Raw genomic sequence first — 21,815 nt, 5'->3', positions numbered from 1 at the left:
AAAACAAAAACAAACAAAAAATTTGCAAATGGGAAAACTGCGTGAAGTAAGTAAAAACATATAAAAAATTAACCCCCAACTGACTATTGGGTACTGGCTAAAGGAATGCAAAAAATACAAGTCAGATGGGGATGGAGTGAGATTCGTTAAGAGAATCTTTCTGGAAGAGATGAACTGTAGGCCAGGGCTTCAAGGAAATAAAGGCTGTTGCCTCTGCTGGAGAGCATTTTGGCTTCATACACTTGGGGGGGTGCAGAAAGGGTAACTAAATTTCTGGTTACCTCGAATTTCTATCTGGGTGGAGTGACTTTGGGGGCAGTGGGGAATTTTTGTTTCCTTTTCTTTTTCTTTTTTTTTTTTGAGACAGAATTTCACTCTGTCACCCAGGCTGGAGTGCAGTGGGGTGATCTCGGCTCACCGCAACCTCCACCTCCCAGATTCAAGTGATTCTCCTGCCTCAGTCTCCCGAGAAGCTGGGATTACAGGCACCCACTACCATGCCTGGCTAATTTTTGTATTTTTAGTAGAGACAGGATTTCACCATGTTGGCTAGGCTGGTTGTGAACTCCTGGCCTCAAATGATCCGCCTGTTTCGGCCTCCCAGAGTGGTGGGATTACAGATGTGAGCCACCACACTCTGCCTGAATTTTTGTTTTCTGATGAGTCTCCAAGGTAATGAAGGAACCTGGATAATGGACACACAGCAGTGTCAGCTGGTATAGATGGAACCTGTCTGGCAGGGGGCAGGGCAGGCATGGATGGGGAAAGCTGGCAGTGAACTTGACTGAATTGGTTAGAATCCCTGCTCAACAGTCCCTCAGACCCCTTCTTTGTCTTTGTAGGTAGCTGCAGCAAAGTCCACTTCCATCTGCCTTACCGGTGGCAGATGCTTATTGGTAAAACCTGGACGGACTTTGAGCACATGGAGACGATCGAGAAAGGCTACTGTAACCCCGGAATCCACCTGTAAGTTGGTGGCTGTACTCTGGCTTTCAAGAGTCCAACATTATCAAAGGGAAGCATTAGTGCTAGGCTCAGGGGAAAAAGAAAAAAACACTTTTCCATCAGAATCCCATTCGAGTGTGAAATACCTCTTGAGATAAAAAATGGCAAATGCCTGCCGAGTTAATGAAGGAAAACCACAGCTGGGTGGGTTTGAGGTCACACTGAGCCTGGCTAATACCAGAGATCCTGGGAATGTTTGCTAACTCAAATGAAACAAACAGTGACATGATTATTTGTTTAGTTGACAGTTGTCTGTGTCCTGCAAAAAAACACAGTTCAGTGTCCGGCTCGTATCCTGATCAGTTCATCACAGAACTATTAAAAGTACTAAATGATTTAGGACAAAAGAGCCTTTGGCTTAACTTCATAATTTAAAAACACGGTTTGAATAATTTCATATAGTTTTACTGTAGAATTTTGTTGTATACTTTAGCATTTAATACCTCCCTTATGTTTGCTATTTTCTCTAGCAAGGCATCTAAGAGGGTACCTTACATTTCTGCTTCTGGCCGAGCGTGGTTGCTCATGCTTGTAATCCTAGCACTTTGGGAGGCTGAGGCAGGAGGATCACTTGAGCTCAGGAGTTCGAGATCAGCCTGGGCAACATGATGAAACCCTGTCTCTACCAACAATACAAAAACTAGCCAGGCATGGTAGCACGCACCTGTGGTCCCAGCTACTCGCTACTCGGGAGGCTGATGTGAGAGGATCACTGGAGCCCAAGAAGTTGAGGCTGCAATGAGCCGTGATTGTGCTACCACACTCCAGCCTGGGTGACAGAGTGAGACCCTGTCTCAAAAATAAATAAGTAAAAACATTTCTCCTTCTGGAAGAGCTGAAATGGGTGATACCCATATGACCGTATTTATCTATGGTGTGCAGGGATATAAGAAACATCCCAGTTTTATAAGGAAATTCTTAAGGGGGAAAAGTTACATTACTTTTCATCATATGAGAATTTAGTGATTTGAGGGTGGAGATTCTGTGTTGCTGGATTTTTACCACTAGAGGGCGACATGAGCTACTTTCTGGTTGCTAGGTCTATATTTCCGCTCCCAGGCAAGTGGAGAGCCGGGTTTCTCAACCTCAGCACTACTGACGTTTTGGGCCAGATTCTGTTTAGCACTATTCCTAGCCTCAATCCACAGATGACAGGAAGCACCACCCCCCCACCAGCCCCACTGGTTGTCCTAACCCAAAATGTCTTCAGATGTTGTAAAATACCCACTGAGGTCAAAATCGTTCCTGATTGAGAACCACTGATCTAAGAGGTCTTTCTTAGAGCAGCAATTCTCAAACTTTTTGGTCAGAGGACTCCTCAACACTTAAAATGTATTCAGGATCCCAAAGAATTTCTGTTTGTGTGGAATATAGCTATCAATATTTACCATATTAAAAATTAAAACTGAGAACAATTATATATTTGATTCACTTAAAAATAAGAATAAGCTTGCTATATGTTAACATAATGAACATGTTTCATGTAACTATATTTAATACTATATACATATTCATGTATATCCATTTAATATACATACCCAGGTATATAACTGTGTGTATTTATTTACATATTTATATATAATATTTATATGGATAATTATAAAATAACTGTTTTCCAAAACAAAAAATTTATTGAGAGGAGTTTTATATTTTTGCAAATTAATGTCTGGCATAATAGAAGATAACTAGATTCTCATATCCGCTTCTTTATTCAACCTGCTGTGAAATCATATATTGTGTAGCCTCTGGAAAATTTCATCGTGTATTCCTGAGAGAATGAAAGTGAAAAAAGCAAATAATGTTTAATGTTATTATGAAAATCACTTTAACCTTGCCAATTTTCTGCAAGGGTCTCCACATTTTGATAACGATTTAAATAATAATAAATAATTTTAAAAATGGACCAAATGCGAATTTCTAACTTACTTTATAACATTGAGCCAATCAGGAGTTTTGTGGGCACAGTTTTATTTTGGGATATTTTCTGAGGGAAGAATACATTATGTAACACCATTAATTATGTGGTGCAGGCGAGTCACTTTCCTCTCTGCGTTTCCGTTTTTCTTTTATGTGTAGGACCTGGAGCCATGGAAAGAAAACTTGAAGATCTATTTTAGCCCTGAAAGTTTAATTCTGTGCTCTCATTAGGGAAGACGAGATTGTAGAAAACAGGGGTCAATGAAGCATTATGTTAACTTAATACTTTTCTCTCTCAGCTGTTCTGTAGGAAGTTATACAATCAATTTTCGGGTAATGAGTTGTGATTCCTTTCCCATCCGACGCCTCTCCACTCCTTCTTCTGTCACCAAGCCAGCCAATTCTGTCTTCACCACCAAATGGATTTGGTATTGGAAGAATGAATCTGGCACATGGATTCAGTATGGAGAAGAGGTGAGCACTGTTCCTCCTTGTAGGGGGCTCTTGTTTAAACTTGTCAACTTAAAAAGAACACTGTTGGCTGGGCACGGTGGCTCATGCCTGTAAGCCCAGCACTTTGGGAGGCTGAGGCAGGTGGATCACCTGAGATCAGGAGTTCGAGACCAGCCTGGCCAACATGGTGAAACCCCATCTCTATTAAAAATACAAAAATTAGCCAGGCGTGGTGGCAGGCGCCTATAATCCCCGCTACTCTGGAGGCTGAGGCAGGAGAATCTCTTGAACCCGGGAGGTGGAGGTTGTAGTGAGCTGAGATTTCGCCACTGCATTCCAGCCTGGGGGATGGATTGAGACTCTGTCTCCAAAATAAATAAATAAATAAAATAAAAAGAACACTATTAATAAAATGTTTGAAGCCTACATGGTTACCCGTGGAGTGTGGTAGAGGAAGTGGTATTTTTTTACTTTGTACACAGCTATATTCAATTTTTTTTCAGCAAACATGTACTCCAATTGCAGTCATACATTAAAGTATATATTAATTTTTATTTTTATTTATTTATTTATTTTTGAGATGGAGTTTCACTCTTATCACCCATGCTGGAGTGCAATGGCGTTATCTTGGCTCACTGCAACCTCCATCTCCTGGGTTCAAGCGATCTTCCTGCCTCAGCCTCCCGAGTAGCTGGGATTACAGGCATGCACCACCACCACACCCAGCTAATTTTTGTATTTTTAGTAGACATGGGGTTTCAACATGTTGGACAGGCTAGTCGTGAACTCCTGACCTCAGGTTATCCGCCCACCTCGGCCTCCCAAAGTGTTGAGATTACAGACGTGAGCCACTGCGCCCGGCCATATATTAATTATTTTTAAGGAACCGCTTGAGACATGTCAGCTGCACTTCCCTCTTTCCTCACCATGAGAGGGGAGGGTGGAACCTTGAGATAGCTTTCTATGTATAAACACATAAAATGTACAGAGACTACTGCTTTGAGCTGGAAAAGAGGGTGAGAGTGAGAACTTAAAGGACTGTATGGATGATGGCATGGTTAATTAGACCAGGGAATGTGTTAATTCACTCAAGCAGTGAAACCACATCTGGTACAGATAGTCACTACTATTCATTCAGAGTCTGGATTTAGATGGACTTAAAGGACTGGAACTAGAAGATCCTAGGCTGACCCATAGTGGGGGCATAGTAATAGGGAGGGAAGTTTAGGTGAGCAGAGCCTCTGTCCTTCTGTCTCAGTGTCCCTTCCTCCCTTTAACTCATAGGATTAAAGAGAGAGAGAAAACAGACCTTAAGCAGGTAATGGAATCAGGGTGATGAGAAACAGAAAATGAAAGCAAGAGATTAAAATGAAGCCAAAAATAATGCATGGGCTGGGTGCGGTGGCTCACTCCTGTAATCCCAGCACTTTGGGAGGCCGAGGTGGGGTGGATCACCTGAAGTCAGGAGTTCGAGACCAGCCCGGCCAACATGGTGAAACCCTGTCTCTACTAAAAATACAAAAAATTAGCTGGGTGTGGTGGCGCGTGCTTGTAATCCCAGCTACTCAGGAGTCTGAGGCAGGAGAATCGCTTGAACCTGCAGGCAGAGGTTGCAGTGAGCCGAGATTGCACCACTGCACTCCAGTCTGGGTGACAAAAGTGAGATTCCAAAAAAAAAAAGATAATGCAGGGACAAAGGAATGGCAGCGTAAGGTTCTACATATTTAGGTTGGTGTAAAATTACTTTTGGGTTGGTGGTAATTACTTTTAATGGCAAAAACTGATTACTTTTGCACGGAACTAATAATTACGAGTCAGTGGGCTATACATTTGGCTCTGAGCTGCCTAACTGCCAAAGCAAACAAAATACTTGGGAGAGGCACTACTCTGTTATGTTAGTGAGGCCTGAGAAAAACACCTCCTATAGTGGGCCACATGGCGGGAACCCTGTGTGCTGTGGTGAGGTCCTCAACCACAAACAGCCCTACCATGAATTCAGCAGCATATTGGTTTCCAAACTGTCTTAGCAGCAGATACATTTTATCAAACCATCTTTCAAAGACTCTAAACGAGCCAACTAGAGTAGAGCAGGGCTGCCCTGGTGGAATAGGATATGGGCTCAGAGCTGTCTCCTGGACCCCTCCTTGTTGCTCTTCTCTCTCCTGTGGTGGCCCATGTAGCATCTCTGTGGAACAGAGTTCTGCTGAAACTCCCGTGTGTGTGAAAACACCTATGATATTAAACTTTGCACAGATTCTTTGTATGCTCAAGCCAAGGATGATGTCAAATAAGCGATTCTGTCAGGCGCCTGTGGAAATAAAATTATAAACCCAAATTAATTAGCCTTGGTTAAAATAAAAATAAGCTATAGGTCTTGATGGTTTTTATGTCAAATAATTGGAATTTTTAGTAAGATATAAAGGGGAAGGGTTGGCAAACAAACATTTGCATTCTAGTTACATCAAGGTTCCAGGAGGCCGGGCGTGGTGGCTCATGTCAGTAATCCCAGCACTTTGGGAGGCCAAGGCGTGTGGATCACCTGAGGTCAGGAGTTCAAAACCAGCCTGGCCAACATGGTGAAACTGTGTCTCTATTAAAAATACACACAGAAAATTAGCTGGGCTTGGTGGCGTGCACCTGTAATTCCAGCCACTTGGGAGGCTGAGGCAGGAAAATTGCTTGAACCAAGGAGGTAGGGGTTGCAGTGACCCGAGACTGTGCCACTACGCTCCAGCCTGGGTGACAGAGTAAGACTCCAAAAAAAAAAAAAAAAGGTTTCAGAAACCAAAAGGAACTATTTGGGGGAAAGATACTGTATTTAAATTTAAATTTACACAAGTTCAATCATGTTCTCTAATAAAACATCAAGAAACTTCCTGAGCTTTTTTTTTTTTGAGACAGAGTTTTGCTCTTGTTACCCAGGCTAGAGTGCAATGTTGTGATCTCGGCTCACTGCAGCCTCTGCCTCCCAGGTTCAAGCAATTCTCCTGCCTCAGCTTCCCCAGTAGCTGGGATTACAGGCATCCACCACCATGCCTGGCTAATTTTTTGTATTTTTAGTTGAGACGGGGTTTCACCATGTTGGCCAGGCTGGTCTTGAACTCCTGACCTCAGGTGATCTGCCTGCCTCTGCCTCCCAAAGTGCTGGGATTACAGGTGTAAGCCACCGCACCCAACCCAGCCCTTCCTGAGGTTTTTTTTTTTTTTTTTTTTGAGACGGAGTCTCGCTCTGTCGCCCAGGCTGGAGTGCAGTGGCGCGATCTCGGCTTACTGCAAGCCCCGCCTCCCGTGTTCACGCCATTCTCCTGCCTCAGCCTCCCAAATAGCTGGGACTACAGGCGCCCGCCACCGCGCCCAGCTAATTTTTTATATTTTTAGTAGAGACGGGGTTTCACCATGTTAGCCAGGATGGTCTCGATCTCCTGACCTCGTGATCTGCCCGCCTCAGCCTCCCAAAGTGCTGGGATTACAGATGTGAGCCACTGCGCCCGGCCTCCTGAGGTTTTTAATACAAAGTTCTCGCTGGGACATTTAGTCTGTGTTAGCTGTAGAGTTTTTATTTTATTTATTTTTATTTTTATATTCTGGATTCCCATGAAAACTGTGGAGTTTTTAGAATGTAACATTCAATCTGCAAACACATGAATGTTGTATTCATTAAATGTGACACAGGTTTGTTGGATGTTCACTGAAGATGTGAATGAACTCTTACTGTCTCATACTAATAAGACCCATCATTATATAAATTGAATTGGCTCTAGTTATTAAAAAAAAAAATAAGGAAAAATCAGGCCCTGGGTTTAATGTTTTCCTTGCTGGGAGTCCAAGTAAAATTAAAATAATGTTTCCAGGAGATTTGAACCCCACATATCAAGAACAGCCTGGTTTCTTTCATGGATCAATGCATTGTGGTCCAAGTTTGCAGCTCTTTGGTGACCTGCCTTGAGCCAGCGTACAGGCTAGAATATTTAGAGAAAGGAGTGGACTGTGAAGCCTTCTGCCAGTGCCCCACAGCTTTTATTTCTTGTAACTGAATTTTGAATAAGTCAGGCAACTAAGAGTTGTGGGTTGGAACCTCCCTAAGAGGAACGTGAGGAGTAGAAACTTCTGCCAACAGAGTAGGCACATATGCTTTGATTATGAGCTCTCAGGGAGGTAAAATAGATATCCTTTTATGGAAATTGATGTACTTAACCAGGACTCATACCTACATAGATGGTGGGCAGGGAGAGGGTGTGGTATTAGGAGAAGTGATGATTGAATCGATGGGCAGTTGGGCAGCAATGGTGTAGGGTAGAGTGATAGCAGGGCTGACAGGAGGGTAGAGCCTGGGAGTCGTTGAATGTGCACCAGTTAGGGAGTGCAGATTCAGGTCCTCGAAGATGTTTACCAGCAAAGTAGCTAAGCTTAGCAGCTGTGGAAGCTGGTGTTGAGAAACAGCGGGAGGCTATGGCCTGAGAGACCCTCTCAGAACAAGGACAAGCCACAGCTCTAGAAAGCCAAGGTTGAGGCAATCATTGACACACAGGATAAAAGCTAAGACCTGTTTACTGCAACTGAAACATAAATTCAAGTCTTGTGGGGAATAAATAATTGACGGCTGTGTGATTCATTCATTTACTCAGACCTGGAGTAACAGTACTGTTCTCTAGGACACATTATGGCTATTAAACTAATGGTAGCTAAAAGGTCTAATGAGACATCTTGCAAGGCTGTCACTACCTGTCACTTAAGAGTATGGGGCAACTGTAGCTTAGGATTGCCAAAGAACTGGGGCCAGCTCAGCACAGATATGACTGACTTTCAGATACCACAAAAAGGACTTATCCTTACAAGAGTAGCTTAGAATACCTTTACAATAGAAACACCTGGTAATTGACCCAGACAACACACAGGAACAAGAGAGGGACTTTGAGAGTTGCTTCTGGACCATCAGTCAGTTGTGTGACCTCTTGACCATAACATACGCATGACATGGGCATGCTCCCGCTGTCCTGTTAGTCTTACAACAGCGAGGGTTGAATGAACCAGCCTACACATCACATCAAGCAGTGCCTGAGACTCGTCTCTGATGTGGACTGAACCAAGGGGAAATGTTACCTTTGAGGACTTCACCACCTACCGGGGTTCATGAACATGACAAGTGCAGTGTGAGGGCGAGGCTAGAGAAGGTCGGTGTGGAGCCATGCTAGGCTGTGCAGGTACTCAGACACTGACTTAGTGGCCCTGTGCTGTCCAGTATGACAACCACTTGCCACATGCGGCAATTTCATTTTAAACTTTAATTAAACACATAAAAAATTAAGAAATCAGTTCCATGGTCACTGTAGTCACATTTTCAGTGCTGTATAGCCACACATAGCTTGGCTACTGAAGGAGTTAAAAATATGCCACTCTGGCATATTGACTATTTTGAGTTAAACGCACTTGAAAAACAGCAGGTGCAAGACGATCACTCTGACCTTCTGTTACTTAAAAGCAGGAGATGAAATTCTCATGTGGAAGATGTTCTTCCTAGGCTGGGCACAGTGGCTCATGCCTGTAATCCCAGCACTTTGGGAGGCTGAGGCGGGCAGATCACTTGAGGTCAGAAATTGGAGACCAGCCTGGACAACATGGTGAAACCCCGTCTCTACTAAAAATACAAGAATCAGCCGGGTGTGGTGGCTCATGCCTGTAATCCCAGCTATTCGGGAGGCTGAGGCAGGAGAATCGCTTGAACCCAGGAGGTGGGGGTTGCAGTGAGCTGATATCACACCATTGCACTCCAGCCTGGGTGACAGAGAGAGACTCACTGAGTCTCAAAATAATAATAATAATAATAATAATAATAATAATAATAATAATAATAAAGAAAGAAAGAGGTCCTCCCTATACCAGAATGAAAGTAGCATTCTTATCAAAGCCAGGAAACCTGTGCAAACAAACCCTATTAGACAAATCTTCATCCTTCTGGACACTTCTCCACCCAATTAACTTCCCTAGCTGAAGCCCCTTTGCCTCATCCCATTTTCATAATTTATGACTCGTCTAATTCAATACAAGTGTTTATCTCTAACTGCAGCTTTAGGTCTTCACTTTCTCGTGAAGGCTCCTGTGCCACGTAAAACTTGTATTAAATGAACGTGTATGCTTTTCTCCTGTTGGTCTTTTTGTATATAAATTTATAGAGTACGAATGTAATTTTGTTACATTTGTTACATGCATAGATTACCTAGTAGTAAAGTCAGGGTTTTTAGGGTGTCCGTCACCTGAATAATGTACATTGTACCCATTAAGTAATTTTTCATCATCTACTCCCCTCCCAACCTGCCCTATCCTTCTGAGTCTCCATTGTCTGTCATTCCTGTTGTGGTCTTATGTCAATTTAATGCTCAGGTCCAGCCAAAATACTGTAAAAGGGTAGAGGTGAAATTTTGCTTCCCTGGCCAGGTGCAGTAGCTCATGCCTGCAATCCCAGCACTTTGGGAGGCCAAGGCAGGCGGATCACCTGAGGTCAGGAGTTCGAAACCAGCCTGATCAATACAGTGAAACCCTGTCTCTACTAAAAATACAAAAATTAGCTGGGGTGTGGTGACATGCACCTGTAATCCCAGCTACTCAGGAGGCTGAGGCGGGAGAATTCGCTTGAACCCAGGAGGCGGAGGTTGCAGTGAGCCCAGATTGTGCCACTGCATTCCAGCCTGGGCAACAGAGGGAAAGGGACACCCTGAAAAAAAAAGAAAGAAAGAAAGAAAGAAAGAAATTTTGCCTCCCCTACATATCATATAGGACAGCGCAGAGAACATTTTCATCACCACAGAATGTTCTAGTGAACAGCACTGGTCTAGACCCTAGAGGCTTGCTAGTCAAAGTGAGGTCCACAGACCAGCAGCATCAGCCTCAGCATCACCCGGGAGCTGGCTGAAGTATGGAATCTAAATCATCCCCAACTTTCCCAGAATCATATCTGCACTTTAATATGATCTCTGGGGCACTCACATGTATGTCAATGTTTGAAAGTCTCCGGCCTTTTAAGCCAGGAACAGAGTGGGTTTTACAGAGCTGAGCAGGCAGTGGATGCATACAGGACTTCAACTGTAGGGATGGGAAATTGGGAAGCGATTCAGCTAGTGGTCAAACCAGGGGATACCAAGGTGCTAGAGCTGTTCTACCCGCCCCACATCATGCCAGAGGTGTTTTGCCCACTTTGGCCCGAGGAAGGCATAGGGTTTACCGGGCACCATTGAATCACGGCAGCAAGCTCTTTTACAATCACTCTGATAGATACTATCCACAAAGCTGTGGCAACAAGCATCTTCATGATATGACTTAATTGTTGGCTGCAGTAAGTTAGAACGTTCTGCTAAAGTCAGCGTCCTTGTCCCTTCCACCCTTTGTACTGGTCCTACCTCCTGAAACACATTCAAGTTTATTCCCACTTTGCCCTGGGTACAAATATTTGAACACTGCTTTCTGCTCCCACCATGCTGCACTCCAGGATAAAGAGACCCAGCTCGGGCCTTTCTCTGTGCAGGACGTTTTCCTTGGACACGTACATTCTGTTGCCCTCCGCTTACAACCAGCAGGCATTTCCACTAGGGAAGAGGAAGGGGCGTCGGTCCAGCTGAAAGTCTGGAATGTCATTAGCAAAAGGAACCGTGAGCCCCTCTCCACCACGGCTGCTTGGAAAAATTTGTTGCCATTAACTCCTTTGTTCTAGATCACAGGAAACAAGAGTCTCCTCACCATTAAATACTGGGAACCCCTGCTGCTAGGGGCGTACTTCTAGTGTGCCCTGATCGCCCACCCTGGCCACGGAATGAGGAATGAGGGCAGTGGATCGGTAGCCTAGCCTGCCCCTTGCTAAAATCAACTCATTTCCCTTTTACCTACACATTCTGATGTTTGCATGCTTTCTATATGCTTTGAGACTAGAGATTATAGCTTTACATTTGGGGGTTATGCCTTATCCCTTCTTTCCTTTTCTTTCTTTTTTTGACAGAGTCTTGCTCTGTCGCCAGGCTCTGCAGTGGCACGATCTTGGCTCACTGCAACCTCCGCCCCCCGAGTTTAAGCGATTCTCCTGTCTCAGCCTCCCGAGTAGCTGGGACTACAGGTGCATGCCACCACGTCCAGCTAATTTTTGAATTTTTAGTAGAGACAGGGTTTCACCATGTTGGCCAGGATGGTCTCGATCTCTTGACCTCGTGATCCACCTGCCTCAGCCTCCCAAAGTGCTAGGATTACAGGTGTGAGCCACTGCACCCGGCCACCTCATCCCTTTCATTATAGCTCCAGTTAGTGGCAAATCCAAGTGCATTTTCAGTTAGTTGGCTAGCAGGAGGCTCGGCCAATTTTGTTTACTTACTCTGGTTCAGGGCAGAGGAGAGGGTTAGGTTATTTATATTTGAACACTGCAACTATTGGAGTTTGGACGAGGACCAGATGGTCTTTCTTTACTTCCCTTCACGACTACTGTAAACCGTGCGTGGCTAGAATAGCCCACGATGTTCTATTTCATGTAAGAGTCAGTGTCAGATTCTGTTAGATGACAGATGCCGGCGTGGCATCAGAAAAGAGGGGATGCAAGTTGCTCTGTATATTTGGCTCATATTTTATGGAAGGCTGTAAAAGAGTATTGCAAACAGCTACACTTCTCAGGCCTCCCCCAAGTGTGTAGTGAGTTTCTGCAGGATAGACTTCTCTCTCTAGGGTACCATGATAGAGAAGACCACAGAAGTCTGTGACATAGCCCTGAGCTGGAAGCTTTTACAATCTGGTTTGGGAAGCAAAATGCACTCCTGTTCACATCTCATTGCTAAAACGAAATCATATAACAGTAGAGATTTCCTAAAAGCCTACCCTGACTTTACCTTTTATTTTTTTTCCAATTAGAAAGACAAACGGAAAAATTCAAACGTCGACTCTTCATACCTGGAGTCTCTCTATCAATCCTGTCCGAGGGGAGTTGTGCCATTTCAGGCGGGCTCACGGAACTATGAGCTGAGTTTCCAAGGTGGGTTTCTGTGTTTGGCAGTGTTGTGTGTCATTGAAATCCGCCTGCAGTGTACACGTGGGAGTGGGAGCAGAGTGGGTATGCATTGCTATGGCCAGGGTCAAGGTCAAGATTTAGCAAGGCGGTGGAGTGCAAGCTAGTGGCCATCAGAAGACCTGTGTTCTAGAGCTCTGGCTGTGACGAACACTTGCTCTGCCACCCTAGGAGGGGCACCTGGCCTATCTAGGCCCACTTCTCTCAACTGCAAAATCAGGGGCTCAAACTAAGTAGTCTTGGGGGTACTTCCAGCTCTGCCATGCTGTTTCTGATTCTGGGTGGGCAGCTGCCCAGGGAGAGGCAATATTTCAGGTGCTGGTGACTACGGTAGAGGCCTTGGGCTTTTGGGCACCTTCAGAGTTTTAGAAACTTGCTGTTTCTTTTAGGGTTTATCATCTAGGTCAGTAGTTCCATCATCACATTGATTAAAGTACTTTGCCTTCCACCGTGTTTATTGGAGCTACTATAGAAAGGTCTTCTGGTGAGCTGCCGCCAATCTACCTGCTGTGTTTAGTTAGATATCAGGGCAGGAACTGCCCTCCTTCTGAAGGTACCATCCCATTGGGCACCCCCTGCACATGATCAAGTGCTTGCCCTTTCGGGACTTGCAGGTGCTTTGGAAGAGGTAAAGGAGCCTTTCTGAGGTCCCTGAATTCGCAGATGGTACCTGCAGTTGGATCCTGTACCGCTTAGTGGGCCTTAGATGACGTAGCTTTTACAAGGACCATTATACCAAGTATTTGGAAAAACAGTCTGGCAGTACATGTCAAGTGACATTAAAATATGCTAATATGTTTGTCTTTTCATTCCCTTAGGAACCTTTCTTAGGAAATAATTCACTAGAAGAAGGGGGGAGAAAAGCTATAGGCATAAAGTAAGGTGCTTGTTAAGCAGCATGGTGTGACCGAAGAATACTAGACCAAAACCAGTACCTATAGTACTAAAAGTAGGACCAGTCTGTACCAGTGCAGTGGTGACTAAATAAATTAGGGTATTAAATTTCAGTGGCGTATCTGGCACTTGTTAAAGATTTTGATTATGAAAACTAGATAGGAAGAGCAAAATTTGGTGTTGTTAAATGAAAAAGGCAGAACACTTTTTTTTTTTTTTTTTTTTTTTGAGACAGGGTCCCACGCCATCACTCAGGCTAGAGTGCGGTGATGCCATCACGGCTCACTGCAGCCTCAACCTCCCTGGCTCAAGCGATCCTGTCACCTCAGCCTCCCAACTAACTGGGAGTATAGGTTCATGCCACCATGCCCAGCTAATTTAAAAATTTTTTTGTACAGATGGGGATCTCACTTTGTTGCCCAGGCTGATTTTAAACTCCTGAGCTCAAGCGATCCTCCCACCTCAACCTCCCAAAATGCTTCGATTACAGGCATGAGCCATAGTGCTCAGCCAGAACCCCAAATTTATGTTTCTGAAATTTTGTTTATATTTAAAATAGGAAAGTTAAAAAAAACACAAAAATCAATGTGCATGATAATTGCAGCAATGCATGCATGTGGGCCGACTGGAAGATAATAAAGAAAAATTAAAATCTCTTCTATTGGGTGGTAGAATTAAAAATGACTTAAATTAAAAAAATTCTTAGGTGGTATTGTATTGTTTTTATGGTTTAAAAGGGTGGTGGAGAGATGAGAGCCAATAGACTTTGTTCCTGAATCTAGAGCAATTTGTCCAGCTACTTCTGTTTGTTTGGTTCATAGAAACCAGTTCAGAGCAATTTATGGGTTCCTAGTGTTCCAGATGGCTTTTTCTTTTCTTTTCTTTTTCTTTCTTTCTTTCTTTTTTTTTTTTTTTTTTTTTTTTGAGACAGAGTCTCGCTTTGTCACCAGGCTGGAGTGCAAAGGCGCAATCTCGGCTCACTGCAACCTCTGCCTCCCAGGTTCAAGCAATTATCTTGCCTCAGCCTCCCAAGTAGCTGGGACTACAGGTGTGTGCTACCACACCTGGTTAATTTTTTGTATTTTTAGTAGAGATGGGGTTTCACTGTGTTAGCCAGGATGGTCTCAAACTCCTGACCTCGTGATCCACCTGCCTCAGCCTCCCAAAGTGTTGGGATTACAGGCGTGAGCCACTGCACCCGTCCGCCTTTTTCTATTCCTGAACTAGACTGCAAGTGTATTCTGTCATGCATTAAGCTAGTATCTGAGTGCCAGCTGTGTACTGGCTCCTGTTGTGGGTGCTGGGATACAGTGATGAAGTTGCTCTTCGAGCCTGTATTCAAAAGGGTGGTGAGAGACAATGGTCAAGTAAACAAGTCAGGCCATTTCAGAAAGTGGTAACAGTTACTGAGAAAATGAAACGGTGGAGAAAATGAAACAGTGCAAGGAAGCAGCCAGAAAATGGAGGAGTCAGTGGGACAGCACTTACTTTTATAGACCAGCCTCTGCCTGTGGGAAGGAGGGCGCTCCAGGAGGAGGAAGAACTAAGGCTAAGGCTGGAAGGTACAGACCAGCTTGAAGTTTCACAGAACAGGTAGATGGTCTGTAAGAGATGAGAGCAGTGATAGAAACTTGGATATTTTATTAGGCGGAGGTCCCGGGAAGATTTTGAGCAGTGTTGTGGCATGATCTGATTTGCTTTGTGTGTGTGTGTGTGTGTGTGTGGTTTATGTTTGTTTCATATTTTAAGAGTGCAGTTGGATGAGTATTGACAAATGCGTGTAACCACCACCCTAAGCAGGATATAGAACATTTCCATCAATCCCGAAAGTTTCCTTATGTCTCTTTGCAATCAGTTTCCCCAGCAACACCACATACACCTCACTTTATCCCCATCACAGGCTATTGCTGATTTGCTTTCTGTCCCTGTTTTACCTGTTCTAGAATTTGATATTAATAAACGCTTGCAGTAGGCACATTGCATGTGGCTGACTTCTTTCACTCTGGAATAATGTTTTTTAGACTCAACCGCGTTGTTGCATGTATAGTAGTTGTTCCTCTTTTATCACTGAGGAATAAGTAATAAGTTATTGTAAGGCTATTCCATAGTTTATTTGTTTACCAGCTGATGGACACTTAGGTTATTTCTCCTTTTTGGTTATCATAATAACGCTGCTGTGAGCATTCACGTGCACATCTTTGTGTGGATACAGGTTTTCATTTCTCTTGGGTAAATACCCAGAAATGGGATTGCTAAATCACATAGGAGTGCATATTTAACTGTATAAGAAACCACCAAACTGTTTTCCAACGTGGTGGTTTCATTTTACACTCTCACTAGCAATGTATTATGACTTACTTTCTGAAGGGTTCACTCTGGTTACAGTTTGGACTGAGGTTTACGGCATGAATTGAAAATGATATTTCACACTTGATGTAGAAAAGAACCCTTCAAGACAGCTACCAGATTCCAACCCGTAATCACTGATGTCTGGTGTAGGGAAGCTTGAAAGGATGGTGTCTTGTTATTTGGCTGCCCCAGCTCTCCTCTTTTACCATCCAACTTGGATTTAAAGATGAGATTAATTCCTGAATATTCATTCACTCCTTTGCTTTGAGCCTTCTACTAATGGCAGTGAAGGATACAAGTCTTTTACTGTGAGCAATTCTCATCCCAAAGGATTTTCTCTATTCGTATACATACAGGTCAGTCTTGAATATTTGCCGTGTAAATAGCCTCTGCAAAATAACAAGAAGTCATTTTCTAGGGCTGATCTTGATTCTCACTGCTTTTATTTTTTTTTCTGTCCAAAGGGATGATTCAGACAAACATAGCTTCCAAAACTCAAAAGGATGTCATCAGAAGACCAACATTTGTGCCTCAGTGGTATGTGCAGCAGATGAAGAGAGGGCCAGAGTAAGTGTTCTGAAGCAGCTGTTTGCTGACAGATGCTTGAGATGTTCATGCCCTGGGCTCATCAAGTCACTCGTGAATCTGGAGCCTGTTTTCCTGAAAAGTTCCTGTTTGCATTACTCTGCAGTTTCCATTTGCATTATCGATGAGTAAGATGCTTGTTAAGCAGCATGGTGTGACTGAAAGGATACTAGATCGGAAAATGAATTTTCTTTCTGAAAGGGAAGTCTGAGCGAGTCTCCTAAATACTCTGGGCTTTAGCTTCTCCAGCTGTGAAGAGCTGGATTGATGCAGTACACCTAAGGAATAATCATATATACTGGGTTTTTGTTTTGCTGTGGATTCTTTTTTTTTTTTTTTTTTTTAGAGGGGGTCTCACTTTGTTGCCCAGGCTGGTCTTGAACTCCTGAGCTCAAGTGATCCTCCTACCTCAGTCTCCCAAAGTGCTGGGATTACAGGCATGAGCCACCGTGCCTGGCTTTGCTGTGGATTCTTTTGGGTGTCTTTTGTTTTCCTACACGATTTATAGAGGATGAGGGGCGGAGAAAGAGATAGAAAAAAGGGATGAGCTAGCTGTTAGAGCAAGGGTTTTGGTGAGAGATAATATTGATTGAAGGGATTTTAAAGGAAATGTTGCTGTGGGGGATTCATTGTAACTCTCCTTGTGAACTGCTCAGTAAACTCTACATTGTTCATGAACATTTTTGGAGTTGGATATTTTTTTTCTGGGTGATGTGTGATTACATAAAACAGGCTTCAAGAGAAGTATAAAATCAAGGTGTTCTAACTAGGTTCTTTTGGTTGTAAGAATTCAAGCTATTTGATGAAAAAGGAAGTTACTAAAAAGATAAATAACTATGAAGTCATATGGAAAACAACTCGCAAGAATCTAAGAATGGAAACTGAGCTATATCAGGGCCTCAGGAAGGGGAGTTGCTTCCTATTCTGCTTTAGAACTGCAGCAGCCTAGAGTCAAAGATTCTTTCTTGGGACCAGGTTAACAGCCTGGATGCTGGATCTAGCTCACCTAGGTTCAAATTCCACCTTGCCACCCATTAGCTGTGTGGATTTGGACAAATGAATCACTCTGTATATCCTCATCTGTAAAATGGGCTTAATAATAATACCTTCCTCACGGTTGCTTGGGTAACACATTCCGAACACTGATCAGGTGTTCAGAAAATGTTAACTGCTCTGGTTATTATTATTTTTATTCCCCTGCTATTAATAGACTTAGTAACTATATATATAATTAAGTTGACTTAATTCTAATTCATAATTCCAACCTGCATATCTCTTCAGCCTTATCTTCTGCCACTAACTGCCTAATTTTCTCTGAATTTCTCAAGTTGATTTCCCAAGAATTAGAATCTGATTGGTGTAGCTATCTAAAGTCCCTTTCAGTAAATTTTTTTTTTTTTTTTGACAGAGTCTTACTCTGTCACCCAGGTTGGAGTGTAGTGGCACAATTTCGGCTCACTGCAACCTCTGCCTCCCTGGTTGAAGTGATTCTCCTGCCTCAGCCTCCTGAGTAGCTGGGACTACAGGCACATGGCACTATGCTCAGCTAATTTTTGTATTTTTAATAGAGACAGGGTTTCACCGTGAGGGCCAGGCTGGTCTCGAACTCTTGACCTCAGGTGATCCACCTGCCTCAGCCTCCCAAAGTGCTGGGATGACAGGCATGAGCCACTGCACTTGGCCCCTTCCTGTAGTTTAAATATTCAAATTAATAAAGTAAAAAGAATATTTCAGGGTTTAGGGAAGAGAGGAGTAAATCTCATGCCCTCACGGGAGCTTACATTCTGGTGGATGAGGCAATAACTATTTCAGTTCCTGACAAATGTTAGGTGGGGGAAAAAGGCAGAGTAGGAGGATGGGGAGGGGCTGTTCACATTCAGCCAATGAATGAGATCATCAGAGCTGCTTTCCATTCGTTACAATCGTTACAATCGTTCTGGCAGGATGTCTTCACAAAAGTGTGTTGGAACTGTCTTTCCTTAAAGCAACAAAACTGCATTTTTTTTTTTAAAGTTCCGGTAATTTTGATTTTTTAACAATTCAGATACTCCCAGTTAGTCTCAACTAGTGAGACCATGCTTTATGGCCCTTCCAGACAGCAGGAACTGTGGAAAGCATAGTAAACCTTGACGCCAAGCTGGATGGTTCTTTCTGTGCACATGTATTTCTAGGGGAAAAAATTGCTTTGTGGCATTTCCAGATAGCTCCTGTAGTCAGCCATTGTCGATCTCAAGAACTTCCATATGTCAGAGTTGCTTCGTGCTTTTCCATTTGCTCTTCCCCTCTCCAGGAATACTCCTTCCCGTCATTCACATGAATACAGCACCCCTCACGATTTAGCTGGAATGCCACTTTCCCATACTATAACATTCCTTGTGATTCTCCTCCAATTCTCCAACACTCGAGATTCCCTTATAGTACTTACCCACTTCTACCTTGTAATACAGTTACTTATGTAAATGTCTCTAGCACAACCTTCCCTCCTCCTCCCTTCCCCCTCCCTCCCCACCAACCTCAATTATCAGCTCCTCAGAGCTCTTGAAATATTTTGGTGTTTTTTTGTGGGGGGGGGGGGGGTTGGGGGTTAGGTTGCTGGGGTGCAGTGGCGCAATCACAGCTCACTGCAGCCTCAACCTCTCGGACTCGGGTGATCCTCCCACTGCAGTCACCCAAGTAACTAGGACTATGGGTGCACACCGCTACACCTGACTAATTTTTTTATTTTTTAATAGAGACACGGTTTCTCCAGGTTGCCCAGGCTGTCTTGGAATAGTTTGTATAATGCATGGCACATAGTGATAATAAACAGCCACATGAATAAAAAAAATAAATTAGAAAAACATGTTAGTGGGGGAGGGTGGGGGGTGGGTCATGCAGAGAACCAAATTTAATCCTGCTCTCACTAGCCCAAGGAGACACACTTGCTGTAGGATAGAATAAGGGCTGGGGTACTATCCTGAACTACAGTGGGACATAGAAGTGAACTACGGCACACGTCACTGTTCATGGGCATCTTACAACATATTCATTCAGTCTATCCCATGTTATACAAATCCAGAATGGAAACCTGACCTTAAAATAGAGATAAACTGGGGCCAATCTTTCTCATTCTAATGAGTCACCTTCTTCTTTAAAGAGTTTTTTCCTTCAAGCATTTATTTTTTAAAATGTAATTGTTGGCCGGGCGCGGTGGCTCACGTCTGTAATCCCAGCACTGTGGGAGGCTGAGGTGGGCGGATCACGAGGTCAGGAGATCGAGACCATCCTGGCTAACACGGTGAAACCCCATCTCTACTAAAAATAACAAAAAAATTAGCCGGGCGTGGTGGCGGGCGCCTGTAGTCCCAGCTACTCGGGAGGCTGAGGCAGGAGAATGGCGTGAACCCGGGAGGCGGAGCTTGCAGTGAGCCGAGATCGCGCCACTGCACTCCAGCCTGGGCAACAGAGGGAGACTCCGTCTCAAAAAAAAAAAAAAAAAAAAAAAATGTAATTGTTTTGATCATGGAAAATTTCAAACATAAAGTACAAAGAATTGATAATAAACCCCTGAGTACCTATCATCCAACTTAAACACTGTCAATATTTTACTATCTTTGTAACGTATTTGTAGTAGTGGTAACAATATTGTTACTACCATCACCTCTAAATTTTTTTTTTCTTTGAGAAAGAGTCTCACTCTGCATGCAGGTTAGAGTGCAGTGGTGTGATCATGGCTCACTGCAGCCTCAAACACCTGGATTCATGTGATTCTCCTGCCTTAGCCTCCTGAGTAGCTGCAACTACAGCCGTGCACCACCACACCTGGATAATTTAAAAAAAATGTTTCTAGAGATGGGGAGGGGGATCCCACTGTGTTGCTCAGGCAGGTCTTAAACTCCAGAGCTCAAGCAATCCTCCTGCTTCGGCCTCCCAAAGTGCTGGGATTATAGGGATGAGCCACCACACCTGGCCTAACTTTTTTTCTTTTGCTGGAATATTTTAATGTAAATCCAATACATGTTATCATTTCCCTGTATATATATTAGGTGTCTTCCTAACAGGTAAGAGGTTTTAAAAAACATAATACAATATCATTAACCTATGTAACAAAGTTAATGATAATTCCTTAATATCATCTAATACCCAGTTCACGTTTTATGTTTTCCCATTGTCTTAAACAATGACTATTTAGAGTTGAGGTATTGCAAATCAGTATCTAAGCAGGGTCTGTACATTGTGTTTGGTTGATTTGTGTCATAAATATCTTTTAGTCTACTACAGTTTCCCCTCCTCTACTTTTTTCATGCAATTTCATTTTTAAGAAATCAGATAGGCCAGGTGTGGTGGCTCATGCCTGTAATCCTAGCACTTTGGGAGGCCAAGGCAGAAGGATTGCTTGAGCCCAGGAGTTTAAGACCAGCCTGGGCAACATGGTGAGTTGAGACCCCATCTCTACAAAAACTTTTTAAAAAGTTAGACAGGTGTGGTGGTACACACTTGTGGTCCCAGCTACTCAAGAGGTTGAGGTGGGAGGATCACTTGAGCCCAGGAGGTTGAGCTGTCTTTGCACCATTGTACTCAGCCTGGGCAACAGAGTGAGACTGTCTCAAAAAAAAAAAAAAAGAAAAGAAAAGAAAAAGAAAAAGGAAAAAAAAAAAACAATAAAAACAACGACTAGGTGATTTGACCTATAGAATTTTCCAAATTCAAAATGTAGAAAATTAACCTGGCATGCTGGCTGATGCTTATAATCCTAGCACTTTGGGAGGTTGAGGTGGGAGGATCACTTGGGCTCAGGAGGTTGAGGATATAGTGAGCCATGATCACACCACTGTACTTCAGCCTGGGTGACAGAGTGAAACTCTGTCTCAAAACAGATTAGCAAATTGTTTCCTCATGGGGTCATTTGATGTGTAATTTCTATAAATTGATCATTAGATTTAGGGAACTGATTAGATTTAGGTTCAGTTTTGAGTCAAGTATGCTATACAATTGATGGCTTCGTACCAGTGGTTCTGTCCCATCTTATGAAGAGATATACAGTGTCTGATTGTCCTATTTTTAGTGATGGAGATCACAGAGTAGGTTCAGGTCATTCCAGTCTGATCATTCCACTATACTATTCATCTGATCTTTCACTTAATGGTTTTAGTAGCTAATGATAATGATTGTTTAGAACCATGATGTCATTAAGTATTGCCAAATGGTGGTTTTCTAATTCTATCAACTCTTTTGCAACTATTAGTGTGATTCATCTATAAAGAAGAATTTTTCTGGTAGCTTTAGCTCTATGGGATAGAAAAAGAAAATTACTTCTCAGGTATGGTTACCCTGAAATACAGTTCATACTGGAAAGGCAGAATTCTTTCCTCTAAATTCCTAATATATTTAATCGTTTATCCTTTGACCAAGAAGCTGTAAGACACATTTGCTTAATGCTAACACATTAGGACCTTTGAAAGTTGAGCAGAAATATAAAAAAGAGTCAATACTTTTACATTTTAAGTCAATAGGAAAATGGCATTTAATTGACCGATTATGAATAGTTGCAGCATTTTTAAAAGACATGATTACTGGTACATCTATACCAGGAATATGTGAG

At 43.1% G+C, this 21,815-nt stretch overlaps 1 protein-coding gene across 3 annotated transcripts in view; it reads left to right on the top strand.

The window, feature by feature from the left end:
* The window catches only part of ZC3HAV1 (zinc finger CCCH-type containing, antiviral 1), a 66,206-nt gene that overhangs the window by 32,469 nt on the left and 11,922 nt on the right, over positions 1-21,815 (top strand). For 2 of the 3 annotated variants that reach the window (NM_020119.4, NM_001363491.2), the window contains exons 6-9: positions 843-966; positions 3,222-3,396; positions 12,253-12,373; positions 16,114-16,216. In NM_020119.4, the coding sequence (NP_064504.2) occupies positions 843-966; positions 3,222-3,396; positions 12,253-12,373; positions 16,114-16,216 (523 nt within the window). Of the gene's footprint in view, positions 1-842; positions 967-3,221; positions 3,397-12,252; positions 12,374-16,113; positions 16,913-21,815 lie in introns of those variants that run through there. The other variant, NM_024625.4, reaches the window with a different exon arrangement.

The sequence above is a fragment of the Homo sapiens genome, chromosome 7, assembly GCF_000001405.40.
Source record: "Homo sapiens chromosome 7, GRCh38.p14 Primary Assembly".
Classification (NCBI taxonomy): domain Eukaryota; kingdom Metazoa; phylum Chordata; class Mammalia; order Primates; family Hominidae; genus Homo; species Homo sapiens.
Note: the sequence above shows the minus strand (reverse complement) of the source record. Positions and strands in the feature narration are given on the sequence as shown.